The following is an 18,656-nucleotide window of genomic DNA, read 5'->3' as shown; positions in this document are numbered from 1 at the left end:
ATTGAGGGCCTGGATCGAACAAAAATGTAGAGGAAGGCTCAATTTCCTCTCTCTGTTTGAGCTGAGACATCCATTTTCCCTTGCCCTTGGACATTGGCATTTCTGGTTCTCAAGCTTTCAGATTCAGACCAGGACTTACACCATCTGCTCCTCTTGCTATCTGGTTCTCAGACTTGGACTGAATTATATCACCAGCTTTCCTGGCTCTCCAGCTTGCAGACAGCAGAGATCATGGGACTTCTTGGCCCCCACAATGGTATGAGCCAGTTCCCATAATGAGTCTCCTGATATATACATATTCATTCTATTGGTTCCATTTCTCTGGAAAGCCCTGACAAATACACGTGTGAAACTGAAAAGGCATCATGGTCAGGTGGCATCCAGCTCAGTAGTTATTTTTAAATCCCACTGCTGTTTTTTAAAATATTTCTTCTACTGTTCTAAGTTCATCCCTTTTCTTGTTACAAGCCACAGCAGAGGAAAATGAATTATGAGTGCACACTTCCCTTTGAAATAAAATATTATTGTACCTACATCACTTTGAGCTCAGTTTCTGAGTAATAAAAGATACTTTACTCCTGAGGAGATAAAGACCACTAACATATACCAGGAAAAAATAATCAAAATAAAAATGATTTACAAAGATATGAAGTCTTTGGATAATATAGATTCTTTATTGTACTATATTTTTCAATTTGGGCACATTTTAAAGTTATAAAATGAGTCAAATATAATTTTGATACAATCTAGAAATAGGTATATTTTTTCAATTATTCTTTGTAAATCAACTAATATAATACTAAGAACCACGAAGGTCATTACTATGCCCTATGTTTCTTTTGACTCTCAATATAGGGATTCTGAGGTCCACCAGGAGAAAATGGTAACATAATAACATTTCCTAAGAGAGAAAGCTGAATTTGGTTGAATTCTCTTTTTTTAGAGAGATAAATTTTTCTCTGGTGTTTATTGCCAAGGCGAAGTAAGTTTATTGTAGTTGACGGCCGGGCACGGTGGCTCACACCCGTAATCCCAGCACTTTAGGAAGCTGAGGCAGGCAGATCACCTGAGATCAAGTTGGCCAGGCAGCCCGGCCAACATGGTGAAACCCCGTCTCCACTAAAAATACAAAAAAAATTAGCTGGGTGTGGTGGTGGGTACCTGTAATCCCAGCTAATCGGGAGGCTGAGGCACGAGAATGGCTTGAACCTGGGAGGTAGAGGTTGCAATGAGCCAAGATCGCGCCACTGCACTCCAGCCTGGGGGACAGAGGGAGACTCTGTCTCAATAATAAAGAAAAAGTTTATTGTAGTTTTAAATAATTTTTAAATCGTATCAATTTCCTGATAGGATTAATGTGTATAATTCTATCATGATGCTTTGCCCAAACAACTATATAATATTCTAACATAATAAACCAACAGACATTGTAGATCATTCCTATATAACCACAAATTAAAAGAAAAAACTACTGGTATCAGAAGACTCTGATAACCACAACTACCCCACAACCATGTCTATGCCACATTTTACCCCTCCCCATCATCCTATTACTTCCTCTGTAAGCAAGGTCCGGTATTAGCATCTATTATAGGTTTGTTATTAAGAGTAAATGAGATTATCTATGGAAGGCACTCAACATAGATTTGATGCCTACTGAGTACTGAATATTAATGATTATTTCTTCTTCAGAAGACATGATCATTGCTACCTCATTTATTCTGCAAGTATTTATCGAATTCCTAAAATACAATCAGTGCTCCAGGTGCTGATATTTCAGACAATCTCATTGCTCTCCTGGAGCTTACATTGCAGTATAGGAAAAAATAGACAGTCATAAATAGCATAAGCTGGAAAGTAAGTAGAACTAGAGACAAAGAAAAAAAGAAAGTAAAGAAGGGAAATAGAAGGGGTGTAGGCGTGGGGGTGAAGTTTTCCAGTAAAAGGCAGAAAATATAAACATTTCATACATGTCAAAGGAAGTGAAGAGGAATGACTCACACAGACTCAAAGAGCATTTAATGCAGGAAGAACAGGTGCAGAAGCCCTGGGGGAGCAAATGATGGGTTGAATTGAGGCTGTTTTCTGGAAGGCTGATCATGAGAGGCTTTCAAGAGCAAGAGGAAGGACATTAGCTTGACGGAGAGCCATTGGAGGGATGTCCACGGAGGGGCAGGGTCCGACTTGAATTCTCACAGAATCTTCCTGGCTGCCAAGTAGAAAATAGATGGGCAGGAGTCAAAGTACAAAGAGACAGCAGTTTAGAGGCACCTGTTTTCATTTTATTTCAGATGTCTCTGAAATGCTTCACTGCATCTGCATTGCTTTTCTGAATCAGTCATCTCCCTTCTAATTCATATCAGCTTTAAAGGAATTTTATTTCTTGCCTTTATTATGCTTCCACACAATCCCTTCTTTTTATACTCTGTATTAAAACATCTTTCCACTCTCTTTTTGTTTCTTTCATATCTTCAGAGGTTCCATCTGGCCAGAACCACGGTTTATAAGTCAGGGTTCCCAAACAGAGCACTCTTAAATAGCAAAAGAAAACACGCAGAATTGTTGTGTATGGCCATCTTCATGACAGCTTGTTAGAGCGTCACCACTGATGGTCTATTACAAACGTAGGAAATATCTTATTAAATTTTTCCCCAATAATCTCTAAGAGAATTGTTAGTATAACAAAATCATGTGTTGCTTAACACCAGGGATACGTCCTGATAAATGTTAGGTGATTCCATCATTGTGTGAACATCATAGAGTGTACAAATTTAGATATCATAGTCTACCACACACCTAGCCTATATAGTATAGCCTATTGCTCCTGGGCTACAAACCTGTGTAGCATGTTACTATACTATATACTGTAGGCAGTTATAACACAACAGTAAGTATGTGTCTATCTAAACATAGAAAAGGCGCAGTAAAAAAAGTATAAAAGATTTTTTTTTTTACTTTCTTTATTATACTTTAAGTTCTGGGATACATGTGCAGAACGTGCAGGTTTGTTACATAGGTATACACGTGCCATGGTGGTTTGCTGCACCCATTAACCCGTCATCTACATTAGGTATTTCTTCTAATGCTATCCCTCCCCTAGCCCCCCACCCCACGACAGGCCCCAGTGTGTGATATTCCCCTCCTTGTGTCCATGCGTTCTCATTGTGCAACTCCCATTTATGAGTGAGAACATGCGGTGTTTGGTTTTCTGTTCCTGTGTTAGTTTGCTGAGAATGATGGTTTCCAGCCATGGGACACCTGTACAGTGCACTTACCATGAATGGAGCTTGCAGGACTGGAAGTTGCTCTGGGTGAGTCAGAGTGAATGGGGAGTGTATGTGAAGGCCTAGGATATTACTATACACTACTATAGACTTTATGAGCATTTACAAATCAGACAATACTAAACTTGTTAATTTTTTCTTCAATAATAAATTAACCTTAGCATACTGTAACTTTTTTAATTAATAATTTTTTAAGTTTTTAAGGCTTTTTGACTCTTTAGTAATAACGTAGTTTAAAACATATCGCAGAGCTGTACAAAACATATTCTTTATATCCTTATTCAATAAGCTTTTTCCCAATTTTTTAACTTTTAAAACTTTGGTAAAAATTAAGACACAGACACATACATTAGCCTAGGCCTGCACAAGTCAGGATCATCAATATCACTGTTTTCCACCTCCACCTCTTGTCCCACTGGAAGGTATTCAGGGGCAATAACAAGCATAGAGGTGTCATCTCCTATGATAACAATACCTTCTTCTGGATGCCTCGTGAAGACAGCCTGAGGCTGTATTATAGTTAACTTGTTTGATTTTTTTTAATAAGTCGGGGTACACTCTAAAATAACAGTAAAAATATAGTATTGTAAATACGAGGCAATAGGAATTTTCCAGCTCCATTATAATCTTATGGGACCACTGAAATGTCATTATACAGCATGTGACTTTACATAGGAAATATGTACTTTGAAGTTTTATATTCTATACAATATTGTAAAATAGTCTTCAAACCTATGTTGCTAAAAAGAGAAATACAAAAACTTTAAGCACAATGGAAATGAACGTTGCTGAATTTTAAAAGAATGGCATCTCTGGTAACTCTATTGCAGTTTTCAGTCCTTATATTTTGTTGAATCAAGACCTTTTAGAAGGAGTCTGTGCTCCATAAATTTGCTTTTTTATAATAAAAGCAGCTCTTTAATTTATACTTGAAATTAGCTAAATAAACCACCATATCATAGAACCCTAGCCTGTGTCCAAATTTTGTGTTTTCTAGAATTCTGATATCCCTAGAAATGTTTCTTTAATGTCAGCTGTTAAAAGCCATTTGAATATTCTCATTATAATTTACTAGACTATAGAAACTTAGACTGATGATGAAAGCTATAGTTATTTCGTTGATAATTCAATAAATCCAATTACTTAAAGATGCAAAATGAATAAAATATATTTAAATGGGATTTTTATTTGATACGCATTCCAACTAGCATGCACTAGAGCTCAGAAAGGGTGGTTGCCCTAACATGTTTTATTTTGTCATTGTGACTATGGAAGAGGCATTTGCATTGGGAAAAATTCCCCGTAATCACAGTTGAGGGCTCCTTGAGCCTCACAGGGAAACTCCTCTGTGCACACAGAAGCCTTGTGGCTACAGCCACCATTGCTCTGTCTCTGAAGGGAGCAAGATCATCTGTGAACAACAGCAGAAATGACAACATGGAAGGAGAAAGGTAGCTCTTGAGATGGAAGGGTAGGAAAATGTCTGTCATTCTCAGTAACTACTAAGGCAGCTAGATCTTCAAAACCTGGGATTATATTGTATGTCATGGAATGTTTTATTGACTCTGATGCCAAAAATCTTATAAAAATTTGGGACATTTACTGCCTTCTTATTTTCAACTTTTTTTCTGACTCTGTAACACCCACCTCCTCCTTTCCTCCCACCAAAATAATAGAACAAAATAAAATAAACAGACAAAAAAACAAACAAAAACACCCACCTTTATCCATATAGCACTTTGAAAACAAATGATTAGGGGCATAATCTATAAACATTAGCAAAATTGCACTTACTTTCAAAGTTACAGGTACACAGTGGTTCCTCAACCTTTCAGAGATCCCTGTATGGCAGACATAGATCTGAGTGACTGGGCTGGTCAGGAAATTCTGGGAATCTGCAGGACACTTGGACCCAAGAAACCCTTATTATGTATAAGAAACTCCAAAAGCCTTCTGCTGGCTTCTTCTGATAGACCCCTAGAGCAATGGTTGTGGGTTAATATCCACTGGTATATTAATTTCCCATTGCTGCTATAACAAACTACTACAGGCATAGTGCCTTGAAAAAACACAAATGATAATATTTGTGTTATCAGTGTTGTGTAGGCTGGAAGGTTAACATGAGTCACACTGGGATAAATTCAGGGTGTCTACAGAGCTGCATTCTTTTCTGGAGACTGTAGGAGAAAATCTAGTTCCTTAACTTTTCCAGTTTTTAGAGGTTACCTTCATTCCTTGGTTGGAGTCCCCATTAACCTATTTTTAAAGCCAGCAACAGTAAGTGGGTGGAGATCTTGTGATGTTGTATCTCTCGGGCCCTTCTTCTGTCATCAAGTCTCCATCTTCAGTTGGGAAACATTTCTCACTTGTAAAAGTCATGTGATTACATTGGATTCACCTGAATTACCCAGGACAATCTCCCCCATTTCAAGACTTTTAACATTAATCACACCTGCAATGTCACTTTTGCCACAAAAGGCAGCATATTCACAGGTTCCAAGGATTAGAATGTGGACAATTTCAGGGGACCATTATTCTGTCTTCCTTACCCAGGAAGTTCTGAAAATACATTGTTACCAGGTTCTGTTGCACCACACAATTTCTAACTTTTTTTGTCCAGTATAGGACCCAGGAATCAGATTTTATTCAAGTTTCCCAGGTGGTAATAAAGAACAGTCAAACATTTCAATCACTTTAGATCATGGTATCAGTGTTTTGCAAACTTTAATGTGCCAAGATTCACCCACTAGTCTTGGTAAAAAATGCAGCTTTGGATTCCAAAGGACTGGTGTGGGGGTGCTTGGTTATTCAAAACGGGGACCCTGGTTCGGCATCTCCTAGGACCTTGTTATGAAAAAACTCAGACCCCTCTTCAGGTCTACGAAGGTGGAATCTACATTTTAATAAATTCCTTAGGTGATCTGTGGGAATAGTAAACTCAAAAAATAATGCCTTACCTTTGAGTATGGGTAATACTAATAACAGGACACATGTAATCACAATTAGCAAGTATCATTCAACTTAAAACACACCATACTTTTACATTATTTTGACTTAATAATTTGCAAACAATGGTATTTTTCAGAAACAATTCAATATATCTTGTTCATTTGGAAATACACTCAGTCATGATAACAGAGTTATAAAACATCTTACCCTTCATAAATTGGGGCAATAATACCTACCCAACCTACAAACAACTCTGACACAAGACTAGATGAGGAAGCGAATTTGATGAAGAAGCCCAAGATATTCCCATTATCATAGCTCTAAAATTTTTCACATTGCCATTGAGCCCACCTCCTGTGGACATGCATCTCAGTCTTCCAGTTCCCAGTGATAGACACCTAAAGGAAAAGGCTCATAACTGGCCTAGGAGAGCTTATGGTTATGAATATTATTCCTTTCATCTCTCATTCTCTTGATGGCTTGTATGTAATTTTGTTAAGTAAAAACTCTCCTGAGATAGAGATCTCTGGCAAAACAATAATAAATTATCTAGCCATTTCTAAAAGGTTGATATCCTTCCTCCAGAATAAAGATTTAAAATACCGTGAGAGCAGAGGTTCTTAAAGGTTAGCAGGCATCAGTGAAACCTACAGAGCTTGTTAATGCACAAATTTTAAGCACCTCCAGAGTTTCCGATTTAGGGGGCAGAAATTTGTACTTTAGGGGTGAATTCTGCACTCACATTTTGTATATGGATTAATACCAAATATTTATGTAATAGCATTCACTTCATTATTTCCTGCCACAGCAATGTCATTAGTATAAAGGCAAAGAATACCTTTTAGGTTTTAGCTAGAGCTTAACATACTATATAGCAATAGCTACTAGACACTTTTCCATCAACCAGTAAATATACAATTAACTGGACAATTTGCAATGAGTCAGATTAGGACAATTGCAGTGAGTCAGATTAGGGCAGGCAATGAAACAAAAAATGGAATAAAAAATCATTGATTGAATCAGTCCCTGAATACAACACATTTGTATAGGCAAAACAAGATCATATTAGCATGTAATCAATATAAGGTTATTAATGAGATATTTTGCATACTTTTATCATACTATTTTTTTTCCATTTTGATATGCATTTTATGCTTAGAGCCTATCTGAGTTTGGACTTCCCGCATTTCAGGCACTTATTTTCTAGTAACATGTGGCTATTGGCTCCATATTGGACAGTGCAGGTCCCTGGGTTCCTTTCAGGTATAATTTGTCTTTAGTGTTCTTAACAGGTCCTGCAGGAGCACTAAATAGCAAGCTTGTGAAACCCAGAACTTCATGCTTACTTAAGTAGCTATTGATGGAGGAAAAAATGTCAAGTGTTCTTCCTGCTGTTCACTACTGTCTCAAACTTCTGCTTCCTCGCTTGTGCTTCTAGGACTTTTATTAATCATTCTTCACATCTCTCCCATCCCTTCATGGCACACAGAGTTATAGGTCTTACAGAACAATAGCCCATGGGCCTGGACGACCCTCCCCATACTCCTCGTGAACAGAATACAAATTCTAGTAATATATTATGAATGATCACTTATAATCCTATTATTTAATTTTTTTTTTACCAGCCAGTGAAGCCTTTCCTAATGAAATTTAGCTTGTAAGTCTGTCTGTAGGCAGTATTGATTGCTTCCCATTGATATTAGCCATTTCCACAATGAAGGAATGTGGGGTCCTAAGTAGATGTCACACCCTCAATTATGTCTTACGATTTTCTCTACAAGGGTTTTCTTTGGACGACCTTTTCTAGTCACTGAGCCTCCTGTGATGTTACCTTTTCTTATGAGCTTTCCCCTTATTGGGCCATTGTTTACTAATTGCCTTACCAGTCAAAAATACAAGTAGTCCATCTGTTCAGTCCCGAAGTATATGCCAGGTTCAGAAATCCAGCATAAACTGAGATAAAAGTGGATAATCTGCATAAGCACTCAATGTGATAACACACAGATGAATTCATACTCCTGTCACCCAGACTCTTCCTGCTGAACATTGTCACCCTTTGTAGTGAGTGAGTTCATAGACTGTATCCAATAACAGTGGATCTTTGAGTATACTATTCCCTATATATTTTTAATGCCTAAGTTCATTTCTGAATACAAAAATCTTTCTGAAGATAAAAGTCAAAAAGTTGTTGAATTAAAATTAGGATAGAGAGAGCATATTCCTCTATGCCCCATTTTTAATATACAATGTTCAAGTACAAGAAGTATCTCTTCTTTTTTGTCATTGAAAGAATGTAGTCAACAGTTTTTGAAATTCATTACTAACTGGATTACAGGTAACTCTATCTAACCATGTGGGTTTCAATGGTCTTCAATTTCCCTAAAACTCATACTTCATCTTTAAAAACTTAATGCATACAAGAATACAACTACTATCTTTTGAGACAGTTGATTATTTGTCATGCATGATACAATCTTACCGTTATATCAACATTAGCAAACTAACGTGGTATTTAGATTTAGGAATGCAGTCACAGAAATAAAGCATTCTGTATTTCTGGCTACCCCAGTACCGTGGTGATCCTCTACTAGACCAGGGCTCTCCAGTAGTATTTGCTGAGATGAACAAAGACTTCTTTTTGTATCTGCACTGTCAGGATGGTAGCCATTAACCACAGGTGGCATTTGAGCACTGAAAATGTAGCTAGTAAGACTGAGGAATAGGATTTTTAATGTCATTAATTATAATTAATATTAATATGAATCTAAATTTAAACAGATGCATGTAGCTGGTGGCTATACTATATTAGCCATCAAGAGCTAGACCGTGCAGTCAGATCTGGAGTGTCTTAGCTAATCCAAAAGTCTATAATCAATCACAGTATGAAGAGTCCTTAATAAAACTAAAGTCACTAATTTCTTCCTATATTCAGTGAGACAATTAATACCTATCAATTAACAAAAATAGGGCATTTCTGAACACATCTGGATTAATGTAAGGCCGGGTGCAGTGGCTCACGCCTGTAATCCCAGCACTTTGGGAGGCCGAGGCTGGCGGATCGTGAGGTCAGGAGATCGAGACCATCCTGGCAAACACAGTGAAACCCCGTCTCTACTAAAAATAAACACACAAAAAAAATTAGCCGGATGTGGTCGTGGGTGCCTGTAGTCCCAGCTACTCGGGAGGCTGAGGCAGGAGAATGGCGTGAACCTGAGAGGCAGAGTTTGCAGTGAGCGGAGATCGCGCCACTGCACTCCAGCCTGGGCGACAGAGCGAGACTCCGTCTCAAAAAAAAGAAATATCATTTATAGAAATTATGGTTTTACCTTAAGATGACTCCTGCCGCTAAGAGTTTAAGAGTTTTAGAATTTGAGCATCAACTCCGCATGAATCATTCCTACTCCATACAGCATATATTAAAACACTTTTTCATCACCTTCTTCTGAGCGCAATCTCTTTGTCATCAAACTCTTAGTAGTTTACTACAAAGATAAAGCATTTTCAAACTCATTGAGGCTCATATATTTTTCTCTGAAATGTCAATAACATTTTCTTCACATTCATTAACCGACGGCTGATGATTCATTTGTCAACTTACCAATATCTTAACACCACCCTCAAGCATTTTAATCTTCTATTGTATAAATCTGAAAAAAAAAAGAAAGAAAGAAGTTGTGGATTAATCAGCTTCTGTGTTTCCGTACTTAGTAAGCTGAATACTGTTGAAAAAAAATTGCATTCATTTTAAATTCATTGATTTATTCATTCATTCATCCACTCATTCATTTAAAATGTGTGTGTATGTGTGTGTGTGTGTGTGTGTGTGTGTTTAATTGAGTGGCTACTAGATCCAGGTGCTGCACTTGTGTTAAGGCAAGGAAATGGCAGTGAAGAAAGCCAAGGCCCTACTGTGATAGAGTCTATATTCTAGTAGGAATGGATGGCAATTAAAAAAAGAAACAGCTAAATCAATAGGTGCCAGTCAGAAATAAATGAAAAAAATCAAAGTATATTAAGAGGCACAGAGTAGCTATGGTGTGTGTACCGATTCATGCATTGTGAAGAAGGAAAGCTAAGTGATATCTGAACACACAGCTGAATGCAGTAGTGAATGGAGCCATAGGATGTCTAAAGGAACGCATCACTGGCAGTAGGTAGGCTCTGTGGTAGAAGTATGCTTGGTATGTTGGAAGAAGATTAAATTGCAGAGCAAATGAAGTTGATCTACAACAATAAAAGCTAAAATAAGAATGAGAGTTTGTGGAGAGATTTGCAGGCCATAGCAGGGAATTTTTATTTTCTTCTGAAAGAAATGGGAGCCATTGGAGGCCCTGGAGTGAAGGAGTGATATACTATGGCTTCCATCTGTGTGAAGAACACGGTAGGAGACTGAGAGGGAAAGGCTGTTATGATAATATAGAGGGAAGGCATTAGAAACTTAGATTACGCTGGTGGCTGTGTAGATTATAAAATGTGGTCAATGTGCAGACACATTTGAAAGTTATAACCAATAGAACTTGTTGATTGATTAAATATAAAATGTGAGACAAAGATAGGAGTCAAAGATAACTCCAAGCTTTTGGCTTAAGTGAGTAGACTAATTATATAATCACGAATATCATTTTAGATATATATCGCAAGTGTATGGTTTCCAACCTTAACTGGGCACAAATTCTTCTTCACATCCATTCCTATTTTCTAGAATGATGAATTCAAAAGTCTATGACCCTGCCCAAACTTCCTTATGTTCAGAAAACAAGCTTTGGTACTTCAGACCAATCCTCAGGATTCTCATCTGAAAAACTTATATAATAACAGTAGTAATTGTAGTTGGCAGATTAAATGTTACTCTCATTGGATGTAATTGACATGGTCAGGAATCTGTTTCTACTTTTTTAACAGCATCTTAAAGTGCTGGGAATGTTATATGATACATACTGATGCTCAATTATTTTTGGTGTGTTAATGAATTTTTTATTTGTAACAATTGACACACTGTATATCATTTAATATTTATTATAAATGTTTAAGGTAGGCCAAATATTTATAGATGAGAAAACTGAAGAAAAAAAAGACTAAGCAATATCCCAAGTTTGCATAGTTAGAAGCAGTAAAGTTAGGATTGGACCCAGATAATCTGATTCCTGAATTCATGCAAGTAATCACTGTGTGATATTATCTTCCAGGCACTTTGTGAGGTTGGAATGAGATAGTGTGATCGTGATGTTTAGCACGGTACTTGGTGAACAGTAAGTACCAACACATGTTGGCCATTTTGTTGTTATTTCTACGGTAATAGAAACATTCCTATCTTAGCCTATCTGTAAGATTCATTGTTGTCAAATCCCTCTCTGCAAACACTTTTAGATGAGCACCTTCTTCTTTATCCATACTAGTGCTACCATAGCTTGACCCAGTTTCAGGTCCCTGTCAGAAAAAAAAGTCATACTTTCACTGTTCTTTCTTTTCTGTCTTCCAATTAGTAGCACCTGCAATTTAATTGTTGAAGCATCATCTCTCTACCTCCATTCCCAAGGACACATGGATAATAAGTAAAGGTTCATGGATAGATAGGGTGGAGTCAGAGATGGGGTGAGAATGGTCAGGGAGCTGGAATATTATCAAGTATGCAATTAGACACGTGGATAGGATTGGCATCATGTGTGACATATGAATTCTGGATAAAGTAGGGAAAATTTTAAATATTACTTGATAAAGTTTTTAAATTTAAAGACAGTCTTACTTGGCCACCCAGACTGAAGTGCAGTCATAGTTCACTGTAATCTTGAAATCCTAGTCTCAAGAGATCCTCCTGCCTCAGCCTCCATAGTAGTTGGGACTATAGGCATGAGTCAAAAAATTAAAAACAAAATTTGTAGAAATTGTGTCTTACTATGTTGTTCAGGGTGTTCTTGAACATCTGGCTTCAGTGATCTTCTGCCTTGGTCTCCCAAAATGCTGGGATTATGGGCATGAGCCACCCTGCTCAGCCTAAAGCTGAGGTATTTAATGTGTGTCTGAGTGTGTATGTGCACATGCCATGCAATCTCTATAGCCTCAAAACAGTTATGTTTTTAGGTAGAAAGGGAGAACATCTTTATAAGTAATGATAATAATTTGCTGTATATTTTAAAATAGCACTTTTATTGATGATAGTTGCAATAGTGATGACATTAGAAAACTCTAAATTTTAACTTTTAAAAATGGTTTTTATACAAAAAACATTTCACTCAATATCAATAATAAGAGTACTCGTTTTTGAATTATATTTTAGTTGACTATTTTATGAGCATACTACTATTAATGTTCTTAATACAGATATATATTAATATATGTCATTTTATGTATAGTCTTCCATCTTAAGTTTTGTCTTACTAAACATATAAGATTTTCGTTTGATCCAAATATAGAAATAGAATATGTTTAATTCTGAACTCAAAACAACTTTAGATAAACATATTCTTCTCAAAGTACAATAATATAAAAGTTACTTATAATTATCATAATATCAGTATGCAAATATGTACCAACAACAACTGTATGTATCAAAAGTCTTTCCATATTGGGTCATTTCATTCTCAGGATGTCAGAAACATTGCTATTTCATTGGAGTAACACTTCATTTGGTCTTATCTAGATACATATGTAAATATTACATCAAATATAATTAGATTTGTTTCCCCCTCTAGAAGGAGACAAACAATGAATATGTCTGATTAACATTAATGATGATATATTGAATAAATAAGGGTTACATAATTAAAATTCTAGTTTGAACAGTGACTAAACTACCAGATTCAACACTTTATACCTCTTTCTTAAAAAGCAGTTGCTGTTGAATTACTGCTTTACTCACTCAGCTGTCAGTTTGACAGTCATTTTAAAGTTTGACAATGAAAGAATGTTTTAATGTGACAAATAAAATTCAGGTAGTTAAGCCATTCTGACCAGTAAAATATCACATACAATCTATGTAGTTTCATCATCTTCTCACTCCAGGCTTAGACAATGTTGTGGTTTGAATATTTGTCCCGTCTGAACCTCATGTTGAAATTAAATTGCCATATTAAAAGGTGAGTCCATCAAGTTACTAGGTTATGGGGGCTCCACCCTCATGAATGGATTAATGCTATGATTGTGAAAGTGGGTTAGTTATTGTGAAAGTGGGTTGTTATATGGGGAGCATGGCCCATCCTGTTTTCTCTTTTTGCACATAATTCTTGCCTTCTTGCCTTCCTCCATGGGAAGTAACACAGCAAGAAGACCCTTACCAGATGTTGATTCCATGTTCTACGACTTCCCAGCCTCCAGAACTGTGAACCAAATAAACGTATTTTCTTTATCAATTACCCAGTCTGTGGTTATTCTGTTACAGCAGCAGACAAAGAACTAGGACAGACAATAGATATTTTGTAGATTTATAAAATGAACTCACAAAACTGCACACATCTTTCCCCTATAGTGGAAGATTATGAATTGAGAATAGGAAGTGAAGGAGAGAGAGTATAAGAAAGAAAACGTTTTTTTGTATTCTCATCTAAACCTTGAAAGTGTTATATTTTGCACAAATGAAGAAAGCCAACAGATTGTTTCTGGGAGAGTATCATTGGAGGTCAGTAATTTGGGGGTGTTATCACAATTCAAACATGGGCATGTTTTCATTTGTGCATCAGTAATAGAAAAACACTGGAGAATTAATTACTATTGAATGAATAACAAGAGTATTATTTTATCTATTTACGCTAACAACAGTTATAGTTTTTAAAGGAGTTGGCATACTCGTTAGCTGGTCAGCACTCTCACCACCTAATAGAAAAATTTATTTTGAAGATCAGATAAGATAAATCTATTTTGAAAATCAGTAAGATAAACTATTATTTAATATAAAGTAAGAATGATGAGACTTCTTGAATGCCCTTACGGAATGCTGTTAAACATTTCAACAGTCTGGTTGATCAATCTCAACCATAAAGACTTCAATGCCAAATGGGCAAAATTAGTGTTGCTTTTGAATTAGAATTTTATATCTCTTCAGCCCTTAGAAACACAATTGGCAAAGCCTCTATTGTATATAAAATATTAATATTTTATATACAAAAGTATATAAAATCAAAGTTTTAATCAAAGCTCTTGTCTTTACATTGCACATGTTAAAGTGCTCTTAATATTTAAAAATATTACTAAACATCTATTTTTCTGTATATTAATACTAATCTTGACAATTCGATTTTTTTCAGCTACTCTTATGACTCATCACTCTATCATGGTATTTCATTGGAATAAAGTGGCTAAGAGCTATTTTTCATCCATTCAATTTATCATTCATCTGAAATCTGCCCTATTTCAGAACATGGCATTTCTAGCCTGTCTCTAAGCTTTGGGTCTCCACCCTTCTGGGGCGCTGCTATTTCCAAAGCACAGCTTTTCCTTATCTAATAATATGACCACCAAGAGATTCTAAGATAAACACAAAGATGGGGAGAAAAAGCAAAGTATTCCCCAGAACTTAGTTGAAAGTATCTTTTAGATTAGGACTACTCTTCCACTTGGGGCAAAAGCAGATAGTCCTTACTGAATTAACCCACTGAACAAATTTTTAAAAATGTAGTTCTTGAATATTCTTCAAAAATATTCAATCAAGCTAGCTCGTAAGTGTACCTCACCCAGTAATCATAAATATGTATAGTAAATTGTAGAAATCAGACTTTGAGGGCAGGAAGTTACTTTAGAAACCAAATTCCCAGAGGGCTCTAAAAAGTTGAACAAAGTCATGAAACTAGTGTTACAGACAAGATTATAATCTATAGATTCTGATTCAGAGACAACTGCTTTGGCAATGTGGTTCTTTTCTGACTATCCTTCGGTTATATTTTTAATACATCTCCTGACATAACTCAGAGTATGATTAATTATAATAAAAAAACTTCAAACATTTTGACGGATTATATCTTATAATTGAACTTCAGTTACTACCTTTTGGCAATGTGATGAAAACAATGATTCATCACTGACAGTGGAGGCAGCACTTTGTAAAGGAAAGAACAGGTAATTTGGAATCAGTCAAACCTAGGGTCCGAAGCCCTATTACTCCACTTACTAGCTGCATGTCTTTGTCCTAAGTATTGACTTCCATGAAACCCCAGTTTTCTGATCTTATCACGGTGTGTTATGGCATTGAAGCTTAACATTTTTATGTCTTGCACAATGCCTGATACACAGTAGGACCCAAAATAAGTGTTTTCATCTCCCTAAGAATACAACTCATGACAAAATGAGGACAATATGACCTCATATTTTTACAGTAAGTAATTACAAATATTTATCAACGTGAGGAACTCTGTAAAACATCTCATCTTTGTGAATTTAGAACTAAGCACAATGAAGACGACCAAGGATTTTTAAAGTGACAATTAAATTTTATACTTTATTAACAATATGATCCCTTTATGATATGCAAACTAGAATAAAAAAATCATAAATTACAAGTTTTAAAAAAATTTAATTGGCGATAAAAGAGCAAAGAGATAGATATTAAAGCTACTTATGCCATTTCTTAATTGTTAGTACTGCTCCATAGACATAGGTAATCACAATATTTAGAACCCTGAAGGGGTTCCAATTGTGTCTTTCACTAAGACTCCAAGCTATGGAAGATCTAGACTATGTTAAGATAGCCTACAATTGTTTCACCACTGTGTTTTTCTTAAAAATGCCAAGTAAAGTCATGCACAATTAAATAAGCCATAATTTATATGCCTCTTCATAAATTACTAATTTTTTTTTTTTGAAATGGAGTCTCGCTCTGTCACCCAGGCCAGAGTGCAATGGGGCGATCTCAGCTCACTGCAACCTCCGCGGTGAGCACAGTTCAAGCAATTCTTCTGCCTCAGCCTCCTGAGTAGCTGGTACTACAGGTGTGTGCCACCACACCCGGCTAATTTTTATATTTTTAGTAGAGACAGGGTTTCACCATCTCGAACTGGTCTCGAACTCCTGACCTCATGATCCGCCCACCTCAGCCTCCCAAAGTGCTAGAAGTTACTAATTTCATTTGACTTTTTCATTTATTCCACTTATTACCCTGAATTGTATTATGCTTCCTATTGTTTCTTTCCACTCTCATTCTCCTTTAGAACAGAACAGTCACGTGGAACACGCTGAAATATGAAAACTGTCCTTATTTGATTGCAGTAAATAAACTCCCAGGTTAGCAGTTTGGGAGTACTACTATTCAACATCAGACACAGTTTTACAAACTGGGGAAATTAATTAGCATGTCTGGACATAGAGAAAACAAGGACCAGATAAATCAAGGCCCATAATTCAAGACCCACTCTTCATTCAGACCTACAAAAGGAAGGCACCATTTTACCTACTATCCCATTTAATGTACCACATTTAATAGCCCACATTTTCCAGTGATAACACCTAGTAAAAGGGAATGGTACCTAATACTGGATTATCACATTGTTAATACCATGATTTATCTGATTAAAGCCCCCAAACCTAATATTACTGAAATTACCTACTACTATGGATTTGAATAATATATTTTATATTTGCCTATTTCAATAGCCGCTTAGCAGTTTTCCTTTACCTTCAATGCAACACACGTCCCTTTTACCTGGATACCCATATAGCATCCCCACAATCTTCCCATATCACACAATCTTTGCAGGCAAGATCTCGATCACATCCACCTTTATCCAAGATTACCTGAGTAAGATAGATTGATGGCATCAATGGGAATGATACATCATGGATATGGTACATTGGTGAGATTCTTCTCTGAGCAGATTCATTCTGTGCACTTAGTCAAGATACAAACATTCACAAAGCAACTGATAAAAAGGGATGAGCCATTACCATACACATAGTACAAGGTCCCACCACCTCACTTAAATTTCTGGGCATTATTTGGTCAGTCAAAAACTGCCATCAAGGAATAACTTTTTCCCTATTAGAACCCTCAATTTTGAAACAAGCTCAACATGTTTTTGGCATTTTTGGTTCTTGAAGCAATGAATTCTTCATTTACAAATTTCACTTAAATCCATTTTATAGTTATCTTCAAATTGGTCCGCTTTAAATGGTGTCTCCAACAACAAAAGGTCCAGTCTTTACAAAATGTAAAAAAAAAAAAAAGAGAGAGAGAGAGACTACCTTCATCACACCTCAGACACTTTTTCACTCCAGAGGACCCAAGAACTTCCTCTCATGCATCCTGGAATCTCTGGAATACACATGTTGGCTATAGGTTGCTCATAGGCTTCTGGTGCCAAAAAACGGTCTTCTTTGGCCACCAGATATATTTCATCAGTATAACCACTGTAGGCTGAATATTGAACCTTTTGGAAAATGATGCTAACTTGTCTCAAAGGTGGGCCTTAGGACTCATTTTCCTATCATGCCTTAGGGCATGGATAAAGCATCCTACAGATCCAACACAGCCATAGAATCCTTCTTACTGAATAAAAATGATACAGAGTAGAGCCTCTGGCATATTCCACCTACAGAAGGAAGTCACTTTGTTTGTTTCCAGTCCCATAACAGATGCGATGGTACTGGAGTATGTCGACCCTCTGCTAGACACATCAACCATCGGGAAAGCCTCTTGGGATCAACCGACTAAACAGAAAAGGTAGTTTGTGTACTTTATAGAACAGAACACAGTGTCACTATTACGTGTAATGGAGTCAGAAGAGATTTACTATCTATTGATAGTACATCCTTTTCTAACAAATGTTATATCCATTTCTGACAAAGATGTCCCACCCGAAGACAATACCCAAAGATCAGAACAATCAAACAAACTTTAGCCATTTTTGGCACTAGAATATGCCATAGCCCACAATTATCTCCATCTACATATTTTTCCAGGCTCTTGAGCCATTGCCAATGGTCTGCTCATCTGGTCAAAGAACAACCACAATTCAGTAACCAAAGTCATCCCTTTGGGGTAAAATTCTATGGCAATGTCCTCACAGATAATAAAAATATAAATCAAAATCACACCTATATCTGTACATACTCAAACTACAATACAAGTTATTACCAGATACTTCTTATTCCTTTTGAAGTTGTAAACATTATTGATAGTGACCAAGGAACTAATTTCATTTCTCAAAATACTCAAGGCACTCTTGAGCAAGGAATTCAGCAGAGCTTTAATCTCCCTTACCAGCCTTAGGCTATAAGCCCCTTAGAGCACCATAAAGTCTTACATAAATAAGTACAATTATTTAATTATTACACATTTTGGTAATCAACTAAATATCAAACATGAACTTTAATGGAACTAACGCTACTTCTGATGTTTTACATCTGACAGCTTTTATACCCCATCCCGCTCTCCTCCCTTCTTGTCCCCCTTCTGGGCAAGCAAGTAAGAAAGTCATTGTGCTCCCTCTCTGGAGACGGGGG

The 18,656-nt window shown here is 36.5% G+C and overlaps 1 long non-coding RNA gene across 1 annotated transcript in view; it reads right to left on the bottom strand.

Moving 5' to 3' along the window:
• Nucleotides 1-1,735: 1,735 nt before the first annotated feature.
• Nucleotides 1,736-18,656, bottom strand: part of LOC124904565 (uncharacterized) — a 91,837-nt gene continuing 74,916 nt past the window's right edge. The window contains exons 2-4 of the long non-coding RNA XR_007066966.1: nt 9,832-9,880; nt 5,079-9,715; nt 1,736-2,209 (exon numbers count right to left, since the gene is read on the bottom strand). This is a non-coding gene — a long non-coding RNA (uncharacterized LOC124904565). The remainder of the gene's footprint in view (nt 2,210-5,078; nt 9,716-9,831; nt 9,881-18,656) is intronic.

This window comes from Homo sapiens, chromosome 1 (assembly GCF_000001405.40).
Source record: "Homo sapiens chromosome 1, GRCh38.p14 Primary Assembly".
Classification (NCBI taxonomy): Eukaryota; Metazoa; Chordata; class Mammalia; order Primates; family Hominidae; genus Homo; species Homo sapiens.
Note: the sequence above shows the minus strand (reverse complement) of the source record. Positions and strands in the feature narration are given on the sequence as shown.